The sequence below is a fragment of the Homo sapiens genome, chromosome 6 (assembly GCF_000001405.40).
Source record: "Homo sapiens chromosome 6, GRCh38.p14 Primary Assembly".
Taxonomy (NCBI): Eukaryota; Metazoa; Chordata; class Mammalia; order Primates; family Hominidae; genus Homo; species Homo sapiens.
In genome coordinates, this window is record NC_000006.12 from 43,972,301 (window position 1) to 43,990,613 (window position 18,313).

The 18,313-nt window shown below is 50.5% G+C and overlaps 3 annotated features.

Annotated features, from left to right (window-relative positions):
- Positions 5,237–5,496: an enhancer, noted in NCBI's record as "active region_24623". NCBI's record gives its function as "activates an Ori minimal core promoter by ATAC-STARR-seq in GM12878 lymphoblastoid cells {active_cell/tissue: GM12878}" and the evidence as "EXISTENCE:reporter gene assay evidence [ECO:0000049][PMID:35858748]".
- Positions 12,654–13,249: an enhancer, noted in NCBI's record as "H3K4me1 hESC enhancer chr6:43952691-43953286 (GRCh37/hg19 assembly coordinates)". NCBI's record gives its function as "activates a minimal SCP1, AML or CMV promoter by ChIP-STARR-seq in naive H9 embryonic stem cells {active_cell/tissue: H9 hESC(naive)}" and the evidence as "EXISTENCE:reporter gene assay evidence [ECO:0000049][PMID:30033119]".
- Positions 17,656–18,165: an enhancer, noted in NCBI's record as "H3K27ac-H3K4me1 hESC enhancer chr6:43957693-43958202 (GRCh37/hg19 assembly coordinates)". NCBI's record gives its function as "activates a minimal SCP1, AML or CMV promoter by ChIP-STARR-seq in primed H9 embryonic stem cells {active_cell/tissue: H9 hESC(primed)}" and the evidence as "EXISTENCE:reporter gene assay evidence [ECO:0000049][PMID:30033119]".

Genomic DNA, 18,313 nt, shown 5'->3' on the forward strand with positions numbered 1-18,313 from the left:
CTGGACCCTCCAGATTTGGTGCCCAGGAGGTTCTAGCAGGGACAGCAGAGGGCAGGAACCAGGCTGGGCTGTGGGGTGAGGACAGCATGGAAGGCAGGCCATGGGGAAGGGGCGCAGCTCTCCAGGAAAAGGGAGAAGATGAGGCAGTGGTTAGAAGGGAGGTGAGAGAGCACCTCTGGGGTCCCTGGGTACACCCTGCCACATGAGTAGTCCCTGGAGCTTCAGGTCTGCATGCCCTGGCTCCTTTATGCCAAGTGTGGCTTCTCTGACTTCCTCCCTCACACGCTCCGAAAAGCACTCAAAAAAGTGCTGAGCCCACTGCTGGCCCTGGAAAGGTTTGCTGATTCACGGAGGTGGAGAGTCTGGCAGCCTGAAGATGGCAGAGGACTCCACCCTGCCTTGGGGAAAGAAAGCAGCCTGGAAGATGTAGGAGAGGCCACAACATTCTACTCATATACATCCTGTGCAGGGTGCAGGGCCAGAGATGGGCAAGAGCCGGTGCCAAGAACATATCCCTAGCTGGCCATCCTCTGAGGCAGAGGGAGCAGAGAGGTCCCAGAACTACTGTAGTTTTATACTAAGTCTTAAAATTAGGTAGTATAGTTCTCTAGCAGGTGAGGAATGAAGGAGGGTTCCTTGGGGGAGGTGCATTAGTGCTGGGCCCAGCGGATGGGTTCAGTTTTGCCCAGTGGAAATGGAAAGGGAAAGGACATTCCTGACAGCATGCACACAAGCAGGAAATCGAGAGGCCTTGTAGGCATCTGGCAAGGAGCCTGGGCTGGCTGGCTCCTCCAGCATCAGCTGTGGAGAGACATGACGCTGAAGGGAAGCTGGCCTCCAAGTCAGGGAGAGCTCTGAATGTGCAAGTAAAAGAGTTGGAGCTTTATTCTGCAGACAGTGGTGAGCCCTTGCAGGTTTTGCAGCAGGAGAGATCTCTGAGGGTATCTCCTCTGGCTGGAGCAGCTGTGGGAAGACCAATTGGTTCTTGATGGGAGGGAGGGGAGGGAATGTCCATCAGGGTCTCCCATAGGGCAAGAACCCCAACCCCACAGTCAAGGCCAGGCTGGTAAAAATAGCTGGGAATCCCGCTGGATAAAAATAGCTGTGGGCAAGGGAACTCACCTGCACCAACAGGTAGGAAAAGTAGGTCATGGCTATGGGCCACCTGGGAGGTGAGCAGGAGGGAACAGAGCTCCTTCAGAGCCTACCACTTCCTCCTTCACCCGTGAAGACTCAGCCTCCTGGGCAGCTCTGAGCAAGGTCTGACAATGGAAGAAGGTCTGGAATTAGCTCCCTAGGCCTGTGGGCCACATGCTATCTCTCCCTCTGGGGGCATTTCTACCTCCCAGCTAGCTTTGAGCATCTTCTGGCACCCTGCTTTGACTTCAGGAATCCACTTCCCAGCAGAATCTAGTGATTCGTTTCTTGGCGACATCACTTTCTAGACTCACTGAGTTCAGAATCTATTAACCTCTTTATTGTAACTGTTGATTTATTGAGCATTTATGAAGTTCTATGCGTGGTGCTAACTTTTTCACAGTACAAGAATAACCTCTCTGAAATATGAGTCTGTTCTCCAAGAGCCAAGCGTCTCTCTCTCGGAACTTCTGTCCACACTACTGGGTTTTTTAAATTATCATACAGTAAAATTTACTGTTTTTCTTCTGGTATACGGTTCTATGGATCTGAACATGTGCAGATGTGTGTATCCTCCACCATCATCAGGATACGGGAAAACTCCATCATCCCCTAAAAACGCACTCATGCTGTTGTTTTATAGTTATATCCTCACCCCACCCATAGTCCTGGCAAATACTAATATGTTTTCCATCACCATAATTTTGTCTTTTTGAGAGTATCAAGTAAATGAAATTACAGTGTGTGACATCTTGACTGGCTTCTCTCATTTAGTATGAAAGTCTTTGACATTTATCCAAATATTGTTGCACTTATCAATATTGTTCCTTTGTACTAATCAGTGGTATTTCATTGTTAACCATTAACCCATTGAAGGACATTTGAGCAGTTTGCAGATTTTGGCTATTACAAATAAAGTTGCTATGAACATTCAGGTACAGGTTTTCATGTGAAGAGATGTTTTCATTGCTCTAGGGTAACTACATTAGGAGGGGGATTACTGGGTCACATGGTAAGTGTATACTCAAAGATTTAACTTTACAAGAAAGTGACGAACCATTTTACAAAGCATCTGTACCATTTTACATTCCCACCAGCAATGTATGAGAGTACTAGTTTCTCTGTGTTCTTGTCAGCTCTTGGTTTTACATTTTTTAATGTGCTATTCTAACAGGTATGTAGAGGTATCCCATCATGGATTCAATTCACATTTCTCTGAGTGTTAGTAATGTTGAATATCTTTTCATGTGTTCGTTTGTCATTTTTATATCCTCTTTGGTGAAGTGTCTGTACAAGTCCTTTACCCATTTTTTTAATGAGGTGGCTTGTTTTCTTGCTTTTGAGTTTTGAGAGTCCTTCGTATATTCTGGATACAAGTAATTTGTCAGATATGTGGTTTGCAAATATTTTTTTCCCAGTCTGTACGTTGTCTCTTCACTTTCTTGACAGTGTCTTTCTTTGACAGAGCAAAAGTTTTTAATTTTGATGCAGTTTGGTTTATGAATATTTCCTTCATGGATGAATCATGCTCTTGGTATCATTTTAGAGCTCTTCACCCAGCCCCAGGTCATAAAGATTTTCATATATGTTGTCTTCTAACAATTTTATAGTTTACATTTTACATTTTGATCTGTGATTCATTTGGGGTTAATCTTTGTATTTAGGTCAAAGGTTTTTCTTTGTTTATGGATGACTAGTTGTTCCAAATTCATTTGTTGAAAAGATTATTTTTTCTCCATTGAATTGCCTTTGTACATATTATTCATATTTGTGTAGATCAATTTCTGAACCTTCTGTTCTGTTTTACTGATCTGTATATTCATCTTTTTGCAAATTTCACACTCTCTTGATGACTACTGTAGTTTTGAACTAAGTCTTAAAATTAGGTAGCATAAACTGGGCAAGGTAGCGTGCATCTGTAATCCCAGCTACTCAGGAGGCTGAAACAAGAGGATTGCTTGAGCCCAGGAGTTTGAGGCCAGCCTGAGAAACATAAGAGAGACCTCATTTCAAAAGACAAAACAACTGTCCCCCTCAAAAAAAAAAAAAAAGAAGAAGAAGAAAGGAGATTAGGTAGTATGATTCCTCACACTTTATTCTTTTTCTCCCCAAAATTGTTTTAGCTATTCTAGTTCCTCTGTCCTTCCACAATATTTTAGAATCTGCTTGTTAATATCTAACAAAAAAATCCTGCTGGGATTTTGATTGGTATTGTGTTAAATCTATAGTCCACTTTGGGAAATTGACATCTTTATGTTGAATCTTCTGTCCATAAATATGGTATACCTTTCCATTTGTTTAGGTCTTCATTATTTATTGCAACAGCATTTTGTAGTTTTCAGCATACAGATCCTGCACATCACACTCGTCTCCTCCACTAGACTACCAGCCCCATGAGGCAGGGACCATGTCTGTATTACATACCACTGCATTTACTGAGCTTCCAGAGGGCCTGCCTGGCATGCAGTTGGTCCTCACTAAATATCTCTGAGTGAATAACAGCACTTTTGCATTTGTCATCTAATTTAATCTACCCACAATCAGGTTAGAGATTACACTTCTTACTTCATGGAGGAGAAAACTGAGGCTTGGAAAGGAGGTATAGTGAACATATCTAGAATGTTCCTCAAGATTCTCGCCTCCTGGTGTACATGCCCTATAAAATTCCCTCCCTTGAGTGTGGAAAAAGGACCTATGAATACGATGAGATATCATTCCCGTGATTCGTTCACATTATAGAGCAAAGGTGGAGGAGTTTTGTAGATGTAATTAAGGTCCCTAATCAGTTGACTCTGAAGTTATCGCAAAGGAGATTTTCCCAGATCAGTCTGACCTAATCAGGTCAGACCTTTTAAATGAGAGTCTGGAGGACACAAGGTGGAAAAGTCAGAGGGATTCAAAGCAGCAGAGCTGCTCTTCTATTGGCCTTGAAGAAGCTAACTGCCATGTTATGGAGAGGGTCACATGATAGAGAACAGCAATATCCTCTAGTAGTTGAGGCCCTCAGTCCCACAAGGAACTTGGGAGAGAACCTCAAGCCTCAAATGAGATCACAGTCCAGCCAACACCTTGACTTAAGCCTGGCAAGACCCTGAGCAGAGAACAAACTTGTGGTAATTTGTTACACAACAATAGAAAATTAATATGGAAGCCTTTCCTAGGGACCCAGAGTTGGGACTCACACAACTCCTGGGTTGCTGAGCTATGCTCTCAACTACTTATCTGTCTCCCAATGCCTTCTCCTCTTGGGGGCTTGAGCCTTTTTGTTTATGCCTTTTGTTTTGTTTTATCTTTGTTTGGATATCAGGATTACAGAATCCTTGGTCTATGACAGTCTTATTAATGGTACATGCACAGCCCACTTTTATTTATGTTGGTTCGTTAGTTGGTTTTACTAATGCAATAAGCACCCTTAAACCCACCACCCAGAATAGCTAGTCCTTGACAATAACCCACATCTAACCACTGCCCCACATCCTGCCCCCGATTCCCCATCTGCAGAAATTGTCATATGAGTCCTGTGTTCATCATTCCCTTGCTTTATGAAGTTTAATGGCATAAAATTATTTTTTAAATTGTAATGTTTTTTAATTTTATAAAAAGGGTATCATGCAGTACGTAATCTATTGGGACTTTTTCATCTCAATTTTCTGTTGCCAAGCTTCATCCATATTGCTCTGTGTTGGAGTATGTCATTCATTTTGACTGCTATGTAACGTTTCACTATGTGACCACATCCCCACAACTCATCCATCCACTCTGCTCCTCATGGGCATTTGGGCAGTTTCCAGGTTTTTGCTATTGTGAACAGTGCTACTCTGAACGTTCTTGTGTAAGTCTCCTGGTTCAGTAATTTACCTCTCAGAGTCAATTTCTGCCTAAATAAACTAAAGGGGAAGGATTTTGTTTCTTTGCCACAGAAGATCCAAAAGACTAATAAAGCTTCTTGCTAGGTGCCTGCCCTTAACTGCACTCACCCCCAAACTGCTGCTTTCAGCAGATCCATCCAAATGTTGTCTCCCCCAGACACCCAAATCCGGGTCCACAAACCCCAGCCATCCACCAGGGGAGCATCAAGAGCACACAAGACAACTCCTCCTGGACTAAAGTTTCAATATCGAGAACTGGCTCTGAGGAAGTGTGCTGACCACAGGCATGGCTCATTCGCAGTTATGGGCAGGACTTTGGTCCCAAAGATATCTCATGTCACTGTGCACTCGGAATCTGCTATTCTGGAAAGCCCCCCAGCCTAAACCACAGCAGAGCATGCGATGACAGCGAGTGTGGTGACAAGTTAGCAGAGTGGGAAGTGAAACGCGGCCATAGGCTGGTCCTTGCCCTGCCTGGCCTCGAGGGAGACCTGATTGAGTCCCTGATCCCTCTTGGGCCAAAGTCTCCTCACATAGCTGAGGGGGGATGCACACTTAGTGAGATAAGAGGTTGATATCTGGTTAGATCTGGTTAGAAAGTACAAGAGGGTGGAGAAAGTGACATCTGGTTAGAAGGTGTGAGAAGGTGGAAGGGGCTAAGAGGGTGGCCAGGGAGAACCCTGCCCAGGGTTGAATGGGAGGGCCCACATTGAGGGCTGATCTTCCCCACCTAGTCCACTCAGACTCACATGTTAATCTCCTCTGGAAACGCCCTCATAGACACACCCAAGAATAATGCCTCACCAGATTTCTAGGTACTTCTTAGTCCAGTCAAATGGACATGTAAAATAAAGCATCACACCATAGACACTTTCTTCAAACCCTTGGGGGTCAGCTATTAGTTCCAGAGGTACAACTGGAAAGGTCTCACAGGGAGACAGACCCAGGGTGGATTCCAGGGGCTTCCCTTGCTCCAGGCCTCTGCAAATGGATGCCTTGGGAAGGGCATGAGTGAGCCTCACAGCAGCAGGGAGGGCTCAGCCTGTTCATCTCTGAGGTCCTCCCACCTGGGTTTCTGTGGCTCTACGAAGGTTTTAGCCCATATCTGCCCCACACGCGTACCTCCCAGGCAGGCCTTCCCTCCATCCTTATCTTCTCTTTCCTTCCTTCTCATTCACTCAGCACACCTTGAGAGAAGCACAGGGATTGGGGCAGTCAGTGTGGGGAGTGTGTAGAGCAAGTTACACAGAAGAGTAGGAAGAACTCAGAATGGAGATGATGAGGCTGAAGGCCAAGGTTCCTCTTAGGCTCCAGCCAGAAGCTGGGCTTGCCAGAAATTGATGCTTCTGGAGAAGGAGGAGGTGCTGATGACTCAGTGCCAGCCTGAAAGTCATGAAGGACGGGGGAACCAGCGTTTCCTCATACCCCAAAGGTCAGAAGGATGCATGGCTATACCTGTAGTGGGTTCAGGCTATAGTCCCCGGTCAATCTAGCTTCCCACCCTTGTGTGTCCCTGGGTCCTGGCTGTAAGCTAACTGAGCAGAGTTTCCCGCACAGCAGCCCTGCTGTCCCACTAGCATCAGAAGAGGAAAGCAGGACTGTCTAAGAAGCCCTGTCTGTGGCGGTGTCCACAGGGGGCGTCTGCATGGGCTCCTCACTCCTGCATGAGCCCCGAGTAGAACAGTCTCTGAGCTTGTACTGCCTGCAGAAAGAATCGGAGGAGGCCAGTCTCTGCTCCTGAAGTTATGCATCAGGGAATGAGCAAGGCTGGGTGGGTCCTGTGAGTGAGAGGATGTGCTTGCACAAGGGACCAGCGTAAAATATGCTACTTATTTGGAGCACCAGCCTTGAGGTACACCCTGAGGCGTCAAGGTCTGGGGAGGTGCTCACATCTGGTAGAGTCTGCGCAGGCCAGTGAGGCAAATATCAGGTCATCACTATTTTGGGTTTCTGTGCAGGAAGGGAGCCAGCCGCGACCTGTGCTTTCATCATAGAAGGATAGAGAGCTTCCTTCTGTAGCCCAAGTTCCTACTCACCTCCCATCCTGGCACCCCCAAATTGGACTCTTTCAGAACAGAGGCCTCTGTCTTAGCCTAGTTTCCCCTAAAAGTGGAACCTGTGGGAGCTTTGGTCTCAGGGGCAACTAAGCTGATTTGGGAAGTGATCCCAGGAACAGGATCAAAAGATGAGGGTGAGGAAAGAGTGAACAGGGTGTCAACCAATACAAGGATATGTTATCTAGTTGGCCACCCCTGTGATGGGTGTTGACCCCACAGAGATCTATTTAAGAGACTTATGAAATGTGTTTCAAAACAGTCTACCCAGAAGGGCAAAAAGGGATCCTTTGGCTCCTGTATCCCCCATTGCACAAAGGTGACTCCAGGGGAGTCCCTTCTGGTGTGCACTACTTAAGCGCTAAGCAGTTCCACAGGTGTCCACCCGTAGGACATCAGAGAAGTCTCTGGCAGGAAGTAGGAGGTTCTAGGCCAAGGCAAAGTGCCATTTAATTGCACCTTTGCAGAGCCCACGAAGCTTGCATGGAGCTGGCCTCTAAAGCAGAGGTCAGAGTAAGCGATGGGCACAGAGAAATTTGGACCAAAGTGTCCAGTAAAGGTCCTTTCTTTGTGCCTTCACCAAGCCATCAGCAGCATCAGCAGCGTGTTACAGGGCCAGCTTTTCAGAGTATGAAAAATATTTTCATAGAGTCAGAGAAAGCTCGGAGGTGGGACGTCATGGTGGGAGTCAGCAAATTCCAAGTACCTAGCAAGGTTTCAGAGCTCTGCTCTGCTTTGTCCAGCCTCAGGACCAGTCTGCCTTCTCTCCTTAAGTGCTTCCCTAGCCAGGGGGCCGGGAGCCAGAATGAAGCAAAGGCCACTCAGCCTGAAACTGCAGCCAGACCTCTCCCTGAAGAGCCTCCCTGCGCCCAGCCCTGCTGAGCCCTCTCTCCGCACACATTTCTTTCCTGCCCAGCCGGCCTCAGTTCATTTCTCAAGCGGCGCATGTGGGCTCCTCCACTTTCTCCCTGTTCAATGTCTTAGCTCCACTTTTTCCTGGGCTGCACCCCAGCCCCCTCCTGCATGCCCACCCACCCCCAGACATTGGCGCTGGCTTTCCAGGCCCCCTGTTGCTTGGCCCTTTCCAAGCCTGTTTGGGACCCAGCCCAAATCAGCAATTACAAGTACCCACTTTTCCTTCTCACTCACACAAGGTAGCCATTGTCCACTGTACAAGGGAGAACCATCTGTGCTCATGTTGCAGTAAAAAAGGTTGTTTACCCAGGGTCGTCAGCACAGCCTTCATGCTGTGTCCTCCCCACTGCATGGCAAGTGCAGGCCAAACACGTGTGGGCCTCATGGGCCCACAGGTTAGGTGCAGAGGACAGACATGCAAGGCCTGGAACAGACACAAGATGGGCACAGAATGGGGATGCAGGCTTAGAACAGATACACGGGCAGCTACCACTTGAGGCCTTAGCAGGTATGGTCCTTTCTCAGCTGTGAGTTCCCTCTGCTCAGGCCCTTAGATGGATGCTCCCTCCATTCCTCCTTCCTACCTCCTCACTTAATCCTTACTATAAGGCCAGGAGAGTGGTTCACGCCTGTAATCCCATACTCTGGGAGGCCAAGATGGAAAGACTGCTTAAGGCCAGGAGTGTGAGACCAGCCTAGGCAACATAGTGAGACCCTGTCTCTAAAAAAATTAAAATTAGCCAGGCATGGTGGTGCGTACCTACAGTCTCAGCTACTTGCTTAGGCAGGAGGATCACTTGAGCCCAAGTTTGAGGCTGCAGTGAGCTATGATCTATGATCATACCACTATAGAGCAAGACCCTGATTCTAAAAAAAAAAAAGTTCACAACCCTCTGCCCTCCAAGGTGGGTCTTACGATCCCATTTAATAGACAAGGATATAGGGGCTCAGAGATGTTCCTTAACTTACCCAAGGGGAGAGAGGAAGAAGGAAGGATGCAACAAGGTACCTATAGAGAACCCCAGGATAGCAGAGCTGGGAGAGCTAGACCTGAAGAAGTTTCTATTCTTCTTTATGGGAGAGGGGACAGTGAGTTGGTTAGGTTGTGTGGAGAATTCCTCACTGAGCTGGAACTTGGGGATTTGGCTCCAGGCAGGTGGGGCCAGCCAGAAGGGTTGCCCTGAGGGGCAGTTGGTGACCTATGAAACACTCTCCCCTCCGCATTAGGGAAGGGAGATTTTCAGCCAGGACACCCCTGCCCTGGAGACAGGGATATGTGCAAGACACCTCCTGGGGGCATAGCTGCCCATATCTGGCTTCCCCACAGCCATGATCACCCTGGTGGGCTCCTGGGTGGGGAAGGGATTGGCAGGAGGATCACTTGCAAGGGAAGTCAGAGCTGTTTCCAACATTCACAGCAGTGTCCCAAGGCCCAGAAGCCCCCAGAAGGAGCCAAAGAGACTTAGTCCCCACAGGGCAAAGGTAACCCAGGGAGCCTGGGTGGGCCTGAGTGACCACCCATGGGCAGGCCGGGCATTTTTGTTCTTGGGAAACCCTGTAACTGAGATCCTGGGGGTCCAAAGGGACCTCCAGGGTCACGTCTCTCACAGCCCAGGCCCTGCCCTGAGGACATGGGTCGCAGTGAGAAGGCCCTCCCCTGTACAACCCCCAGGCCAGTTGCCAGAACAGCAGGGTGAATATGGTATCAAGAGGTCAGGCTCAAGCCTACACTGTCCAGCCTCCCTAGCCCTTCAAGATAGCCCAGGCCACAGAAACACCAAACCAGCAAACTTGGGAAAGGCCATTGTCCTCTGCAATGGAGCTTGAATCAGCATTATCCTCTCCAGTGTTGATACCTCATAGCCTTCTCTGTCCTCTGCAAAAGGCTGAACACCAGAACATTCCAGAGCAGGACACAAGCATCTGCCGCCCTTGTTATGCCTCCTGCAGCCCAGGCCTGGCTGCCCTGCATGGCCTTGACATCTTCTGACATCTCTGGGCAGCATCTGTAACAGGATGTTTCACCAGCAGCCTCTTCACCCAGCTGACCTTGATGGGGGGCACATGGAGAGAGAGGAGACTGCCAGCCACCCCAGACAAAGCTTGCTGGTTCTGCCCCTACACTCTGCCCAGGCTCTACAAGCCTGAGCCAGAGTGGAAACTGGTTGGAGGCTGGAAAGTTTGGAGGAAAGCTTTCTGATGGGAGGTGATGGGGAGAGCAGCTGAGAAGGGGCTGGTCATGGTCTCCCTGGGTGTCAAAATTCTAGAATCAGTGAATCCCTGCAGCTCAAGACCTTGTGCCTACAGTGTCTGAGATGTGTGTTGCTCCATACGCCCTGGGGAACCAGCTTCTAGGTAAGCTCTCAGAAATCCCACAGTGTTGGAGTCACAAGACCTCTGAGATACAGCCCTCCAAGTTTTCTATGGCTGCAAAACAAACTATTCCCAAACATAGTGCCTTAAAACAATAATGGCTTAATTTCTCACAATTCTGGTGGTAGTCCTGGCTGTTCTGCAAGTCTAACCTGGGATTAGGCCACTTAATCAGCTGCATTCAGCTGGAAGGTCCAGGGTGGCCTCAATGGCAACTCTGAAGCCTCCGTGCCATCAACCGGCTTCCGTGTGCCTCCTCTTAGTGCCTGATCCTCCAGAGTCTCTCTCTCCAGCAGAATAGCCTGGACTTCCTTACAGCACGGTGCCTGGCTTGGAGGAAGAGGAGACAGGGAGGGAAGGCAGTCAGGCCTCTCTAGGGTTGAGCCTGGGACTGGCACAGCATCATTGCATTTTTTTCAGTCAAAGCAAGTCATAAGGCCAAGCCAGAATCAAGGAGAGGGAAAATAGAAACCAACTCTTGGCAGTAGGAGTAGCAAAGACTCTGTGGACATCTCTCACCCACCTCGGACCTTTATCAGTCTCTGGAGAGTCAGGACAGAGCCAGATTGCCTGACACAGACCTGGAAACTTAGAGATGGATGAAGTCCCCATTCCTGCCCCTGGGACTCTCTGCCCTCAGCCCCCAAACCATGACCTTCCTGAGTCCCTCTGCTCACAGTGACCCTGGAGGCCTGGCCTGGGGGTGGGAAGGGCTGGGATCGGAGCTGCACAGGGTGGTGGGGAGGAATTAGGTCCCTTTTCATACCAACTGTTGAGGCATCTGAACTTGATCTAGGGATGGGACTTTGGCTATGGGATGTGGGGAGAGGGTGCCCCCTCCATGCAGAGGCCCTTCCCACAAAGGCTTGAGCAGAGCCTGAATGTGGACGCAAGGCAGGCTCCACTTAGCTCTCCATGTTCACCTGTCCACAGGTAAGGCTGTGACAGATGAACTGAGGCCACCTGTCCTGGGGAGGCTGGTCCTAAGGGACCCCAGCTCTTCCTCTCCTCTTCCAGGTGATCTCCTGCACAGGTGCCAAGTTCCCACCACACTGAGCTGCATTCAGCAGGCCCAGATGTTGGGCAGCCAAGTCGGTCCCCTGAGGACCCACCCCTCCTGTCTGCTTTCATCTAATTTATTCACTCAACCACTTGACAAATATTTACTCAGCACCCGTAAGATAACAGGCACTGTGTTCGTCGCAGGGGATATATCAAGTGAGCAAAAGAAAAAAAAACCCTATCCTCTTGGAGCTCAGATTCATGAGACGGTGGGAGGGAGTGTGTCTGTAGACAATAAACTAAATAAATCAGTAAATTACGGAGTCTTGTGGCTGCCATAACAAATCACCCACTTGGTGGCTTACGACCAACAGAAATGTGTTCTCTCACAGTTCCGGAGGGCACGCATCTGAGCATCACTGCTATCTCTGCCTCCATGTTCAGGTGGCCTTCTTCCCTCTGTCTCTCTGTGTCTCCTCTTCTCATAAGGACATTAGTAATTGGACTTAGGGCCCACTCTAAATCAAGAGAGCCTCATCTTGAGATACTTAATTATATCCGCAAAGACACTATTTCCAAATAAGGTCACATTGTGAGGTTCCTGGTGAACATGAAGTTTGGAGGGAGACACTATTCAACTCACTGTGGCCATATGCACGGGTTCTAGGGGTTAGAACATGGACATTTTGGGGGACCACCATCCAACCCACTGCAAACATATTAGAGATTTGGAGAAAAATAAAGCAGGGTAATACAGAAGAGGGGCCCTGTGGTGGGATTGGGAAGGCAGGCCGAGCATTCAATAGGATGGTTAGGAAAGACCTCACTGAGAAGGTGATATTCAAATAATGACCTCAAGGAAGTGAGGGGGTGACGCATATGGCTATCTGAAGGAAAAGCATCCAGGCAGAGGGAACAGGTAGCACAAAGGCCCTGAGGCAGGAGCGTGCCCAGTACATCTGAGGAATAGGAGGCTGGAGCAGAGTGAGCGAGGGCTAGACTGGTGGTAGGGTGGGATTGCTGGGGACTTGCAGGCCACACTTAGGACTCTCCCTTCACCCAGAGGGATATGGGAGCTGAGGCAGAAGAGAAACTTTGTTTTCATTCTCACTGCAGAGCTGAGCGTAGACTGTCTGGGGCCACTGGCTGAAGTGTAACTGCCCACTCCCCCGCCCCGCCAGGGCTGGACATGGGCAGCACGCCCTCCACGGCTCTGGGGTGGCTTCCCAGGACTGTGTCATAGACAGGCGCCTCCGATCCCCTGCCACTGGACCCCCCGCCTGCCCACAGGGCTCAGGTTTCTCCTCATCAGCTGTATCCACCAGAGCTTGGGAAAGTCGGCTTTCCAGGAAGATTTCATCATTTTCCATTCGGAAAAGTTTGCTGCTCCCACCACTCCCTCCTCTACTCCCAAGGCTGAGAAACAAGCACTGAGACTTTCTGGAGCTCAGAAAGGCCCATGGGCTGGGGCAGGCGAAGCTTCCAGCCTGCCTCATGGCCACCTGCAACCAGAACCGCCCCATTCCCCAGCTGGCCAGACTCCCATCTCCTGGGGGATCCTCACCTGCCCCCACCCCATGCTTGCTCCCCATGGGATTCTCTGTGGACTCCCCCATCATAGTCTTCTGCCCTGGCACCTCTGTGGCCTGCTAAGGGGGAGGCCACCCCACCAGGCAGAGAAGGCACTGGAGAGAGCTGCGAGAGGAGGGAAGAGGGCTAGGCTACCCACCTCCAGGACTCTCTCATGAAGGCAGAGCCACTGATGGGAACCAAGCACCTGCCTTGGCTTCTAAGGTGAGTGGAAAATTCCCTTAGCGCCTCTGCACCAGTGTTTTCCCCTCACCTCTATTGCCATTGTGGATCTGTCAACAAATATAGAGTCTGTCAGTGTTTGCAGAGCCTACCAGCATTTGCAGAGCCTGCCTGGTCACAAAGCCTATTGTTATTTGCTGAGATAGTTTCTTTCATTGCTCCAGGAGGCCCCACCCACTGCACAATGGTGACCAGTAAAGTTTCCTCTCTCCCTCACCCCTACCCTGCCCCACACTCCTCCCTGAGGTCTCCCCAAGTATCCACAAGGCATTTCCCCAAAGGCCCTGAGACTTAGACCTACAGACACCCCACAGCAAATCCACACACTCCCCATTGGACCTTCACTCATGAGCCCTGTATAAGCCAAGGTGTGGGGGGCCAGATGGGGCTCCAACCCCAAGAAAACAGAGAGGCCACCCCCTCCTGAGCTCAGGCCTGAAGGAAAGCATAATTTGAAGCCAAGCGGAAATGGACCTCTGTCATTTTGTAGCTATGGCATTTGGGCATCCACTCGAGTTTCTGAGTCTCAGTTTCCTCATCTATAAAACAGGGATGCATCAAGGCATATGGCTGAGGTAAGCTCAGCTGAAAGAAGACGGAGAGTCAATTGGCTGCCAGTGACACATCTAGTTGTGCCAGGCATGGGGCTCAGTTCATCCACAAAAAATCTTCCAAGAGGTGAAAGAAACCCCAGGCTTTCCTGATATTCGCTCTGAGAGGTGAAAATAAGTCTATATGAGTCTGAGCAGGGACTCAGCTCACCCTGATCCTGACAGGGCAGAAATGTGTCAGGAACTTGGAGAGGGCTGATGTGGGAGCCCTCAGCCATTAACCCTTCTCCTCTGGCCATTCTCAATGTTGCTTTGACAGTGAGTGCAGGCGGAGGGATAGCTCTCCCTTACTGACTGTGAGCATGCTGAGGAAGGGGCTGTGTGTTCCCCTCAGACTGGGGCTCCCTGAGGATGGGGCCAAGTCTCTCCTCAGACTGGGGTTCCCTAAGGATGGGGCTGCGTCTCCCCTCAGACTGGAGATCCCTGAGGACAGGCCATGTCTCCCTTCTGAGACTGAGGCTCCGTTTGCTCTCAGCCCCTAGGCTCTCCAGCTGTACTCCTGTCTCACGGAACAACCACCCAAGAGAACAGAGTGATAGGGTCTGCTGAGCAGAAGTGCACAGGGCAGGTTGCGGGTACTCCTGAGGAGGGACGTGCTGATAAAGGGTAATCTCCCTGAGCACTTGGCTCAGGATAGCAAAGGCTGCAATCAGAGGGTTCTGTTTCGAGCTTCCAGCCAACTGTCTCTATCAAGTGCCTGCTGTGTGCAAACCCACTGACAGGTACTTTGGGAGGACCAAGAGGACTTATGCATGGTGTTTGAGCTCTTGGGAGAGAGGCTGATGCCTGGTAGGGGATGCACAGACACTCAGGGCTCCTGGGAGAAGAAAGGGAGTGAGTTCCTCAGTCAGGCAGCCTTCTCAAAGGAGACCCTGTTAGGGTCCAGTTTAGGGCAGCGGTCAGTGGCTTTGGAGCTTTGGGCCTGGGGGAGCTCCTGAAGACCCTTTTCCCATCCTGCCACCTCTCCCCCTCCCATGCTTATCTGGCAACCTTGCTCCATGTTTTCCCTGGAACATGTTCTTCCTGCTCCCCTCAGCCCCTACTCAAGGTTAAGCCCTCTCTTTTGCTTCTGCCCAGCAAGTCCAAGGCTGGGTACTAGGGCGCAGGGGAAGGAGCTTGCTCAAGAGCCCGTGGAGGGCCCCTTGGGAGCCACCTCCTGGCTCCTGAGCCTAGGAGTGTCTAGGAGCATCTTACAAGAAGTGTAGATGATGAGGTGTTCTAGAGAAGGAAGGGGGAGCCCAGGAGGAAGCTGTCTCTTCCATCTTCTGCCTCCATGCCCAAATCCTTTAGAGGGAGCAGGTTCTGTAACCCATCCAGCAGTGGGCTCTCACCAAATTGTTCCATTTCCTCTCCCCTCTTAGTAAGGTGAAACCAACTCATTCTCTTCTCAGCCCTGCCCTGGGTTCTGGAGCAATGAGGAACTGGGGATCCTCAGTTGGGGCTCCCCACTCAGCCCAGCAGGGCAGAATGGGCCCTGAGGGGCAATGATGATAGGGAAGGTGAATGTGACCCATCCTCACAGATCCCCAGTCCAAGGGGAGACGCAGCCCCATCCTCAGGGAGCCCCAGTCTGAGGGGAGACACAGACCCATCCTCAGTGAGCCTCAGTCTGAGGGAGACACAGCCCTGTTCTCATGGGGCCCCAGACTGAGGGGAGACTCAGCTCTGCCCCTTCAGGGCTGGTCTGACTTGACCTTCAACGTCTCAATCCCTATTCAGGGAGTGATGACCAAGAGGTCACCTGAGCCACCTCCTGTCTTAAGTCAGGGTCCTTTCACTCACCCCATGAACTGAGGACAGAACAGGCATGGGACAGGAAGGAGGCCTAGAGACCCCTGATCTAACTGGCCACTGCTTGGCAGGCCCCTTTGTTGTCACCTGTGGGTCCCCAGACTCTCCCAACATCCTGCGAAATAGCATTTCTCTCCATTTAGGAGTGACCCCCGGGAATGGCCTTGCCCTGTCCCGTCAACCCCTTCCCTTGCCCCAGACACTGATAGTGGCTGAAAAGCAGGCCCATGGGGTGAGGGAGTAAGGGAATCCTGATAAGCTGACCTTCCTCAGCTCCTGTTTTGGCTGAGGCAGGCTGGTGGGCTGTTTGGTCTGGTGGGCCCATGGTGGAGAGGGTCCCCTGTGAGGTAGGGGGTCGCAGGCTCAAGGTCTCACTGGGTTGAGACAGCCCATACCTTGACAGGAAGGCCAGGCATGAGAGCCCTGCTGAGGTTCCTTCCGCCAGGACATGGCCCCTCTCTGGCCCATCAGGACATCCACCTCACTCCATGGTCACCACCCCAGGAGATAAGGGGCTCCCCTGAGCCTCCCTCACAGCTTCTAGCACCCCACAGGGTCCCTCGGGTCCCCGTCACTCTCCTGTCCAGAAACCTTGCCCCAGCAAGGAAAAGAGGAGAAGGTAAGAGTTGCGTCCCCACAGGAAACTGAGGCACAGAGACTGGCAGAGACCTCCCCAAACCCCATCTGCCCACTCCTCAATGGTAGTGTGGTAGAGTGATAAAAATCTGGGGGACCGATTGGGGGAATTGAACATGAGCTGCATATTAGATATTGCAAACTGTTTTGTTCAATGTAAGAATGGCATGCTGGTTTATATAGAAAATTTGGTTTATTTTTTAGAGATGCATTCTTAAATGAGTAGAGGTGACATGCTATATGTCTATAATTTACTTTTTAATATTTCAGCACAGAAAAGATGAAGCAAATCTGGCAAACAAAATGTTCATTATGCTATTCTGGTAATCGGTACTTGTAGTTTCGTTGTACTGCTCTCTCCATTTGTCTGAATGTTTAAAATTTCTCATTAAAAAAAGACAAATGCTGTTCTAACCTAGGTTTGAATACCAATTCGACTTCTTTGCTGTGTGACCTTAGGCAAGTCACTTAACCTCTCTGGGCCCCATTCTCTTTAAACACCACTGTTGTGATGTTTAAACACAGTAATGGATGGGGTGCACTAGTACAGTGCCTCAGACATAGTAAGTGCTCAGTTAAAAATGGTTGTTTTTTGTAGCCTGGGAAAGTAGCTCATGTCTGTAATCCCAGCACTTTAGGAAGCCAAGGCAGGAGGATCTCTTGAAGCCAGGAGTTTGAGATCAGCCTAGGCAACATAGCAAGACCCCATTTCTACAAAAGATAAAAAATTAAAATAATAGAAAAGGGTCATTATTTGTGAAATGAATGGAAAAGGTGTCTGTGCCTGTGTGTGTGTGTGTGTGTGTGTGTGTGTGTGTGTGTGTGTGTGTTAGAAGGAGTGTCTTCTCAAACTCTCAGCCTCAGTTTCTCAGCCCTCAGGAAGCAGTAGTTAATTACTTGGGTCAACAGCCACACCCTCAGTCCCTACTCCATGTCACGGGCTGTGATGGGTGCTGGCAAAGGGGAAGGATTTGGGGTGCAGGGCCCCTCTTCACAGGACCAGTGGACACTGGTTCCTTAGAAGGAACACTGAAGTTAGTGGAGCCCCTCCTCATTTTGCATCCAGCCTAGGAACAGAGCAACTCCGTCTGGCCACGTGCAGTCGCCAGCTTTGGGGACAGGCAGAGCTGAGGGGCTGCCCCCTCAACACCCCACACAAAGGAGCAGAGCAGTGAAAGCCCCGTCCCGAGGACAAGGGCAGTGGGGCATGTGCCGGTAACGGGAGAAGGCCAGCCCTTTCTTATTTTGGGAGGCAGGAGGCAGCAGGTGGCTGGCTGGTGCTGGGACATGTGAACCCTCCTGTCGGGGGCCATGTGGTCAGCAGCAGGGCAGCCTGGCAGTGCCGGGCTCAGCCTAGGCCCCACATGAGCCCATCAGCCAGACACATTTGTGGCCACAGAGGGAGGGAGATCCAGTTTCTCCACAAGGGCATCCTCTGTAGCACAGCTTGGAAGTGGGGGAAAGGACACCTGGCACCTGCCCCACCCCCATATTCCCCAAGGAAGCTGACTCCAGGGACCTGAGTGTTCGGAGGAGCTCCCAGTCTGAGTGGGGAGATGCAATCTTTATACCCCAGGAGTTTCTAATCCATGAGAGACACAGCCTCTGCCCTGAGGCAGCCCTCAGTCTGAGGGAGAAAACACAGACCTGGCATCAGAGAGCTCCAAATCTGAGTGGAGAGGCCCATTCTGAGGAGGGGGTTGGCCACAGTGAGGGCATGGGGGCTGCAGGGGCTGGAGCACTCCATTAGGGCTGGTGGAAGCCACAATGTTGCAGGTTCCTGCGGGAGCCAAGTTATTTTGGGTGGGCAGGAGGAGCAGGCGACTTTCCAGATTAAAATAGCTTTCCCTGGGTGTCATTCCTGAGACGTGTTCAGATCCCAGCAGCATGCTCGTCACACGGTTATGTTCCTCCTGTCCCTCCCAGTCGGGTGGGCAGGGCCAGGTTGGCAGTCCTGCCCAGGCTGGAGGAGGTAGGAAAGTAGAGATGAGCCTTGCTTCCTAATCAGGGCAGCACGGAAATGTGAATCCAGTCTCCGGGGCCACTGAAAGCTGCCCACCACTTGCCCAACTCCTTCTAAAGGGCCTGCAGTTCTAGGAACAGGACACAGTCT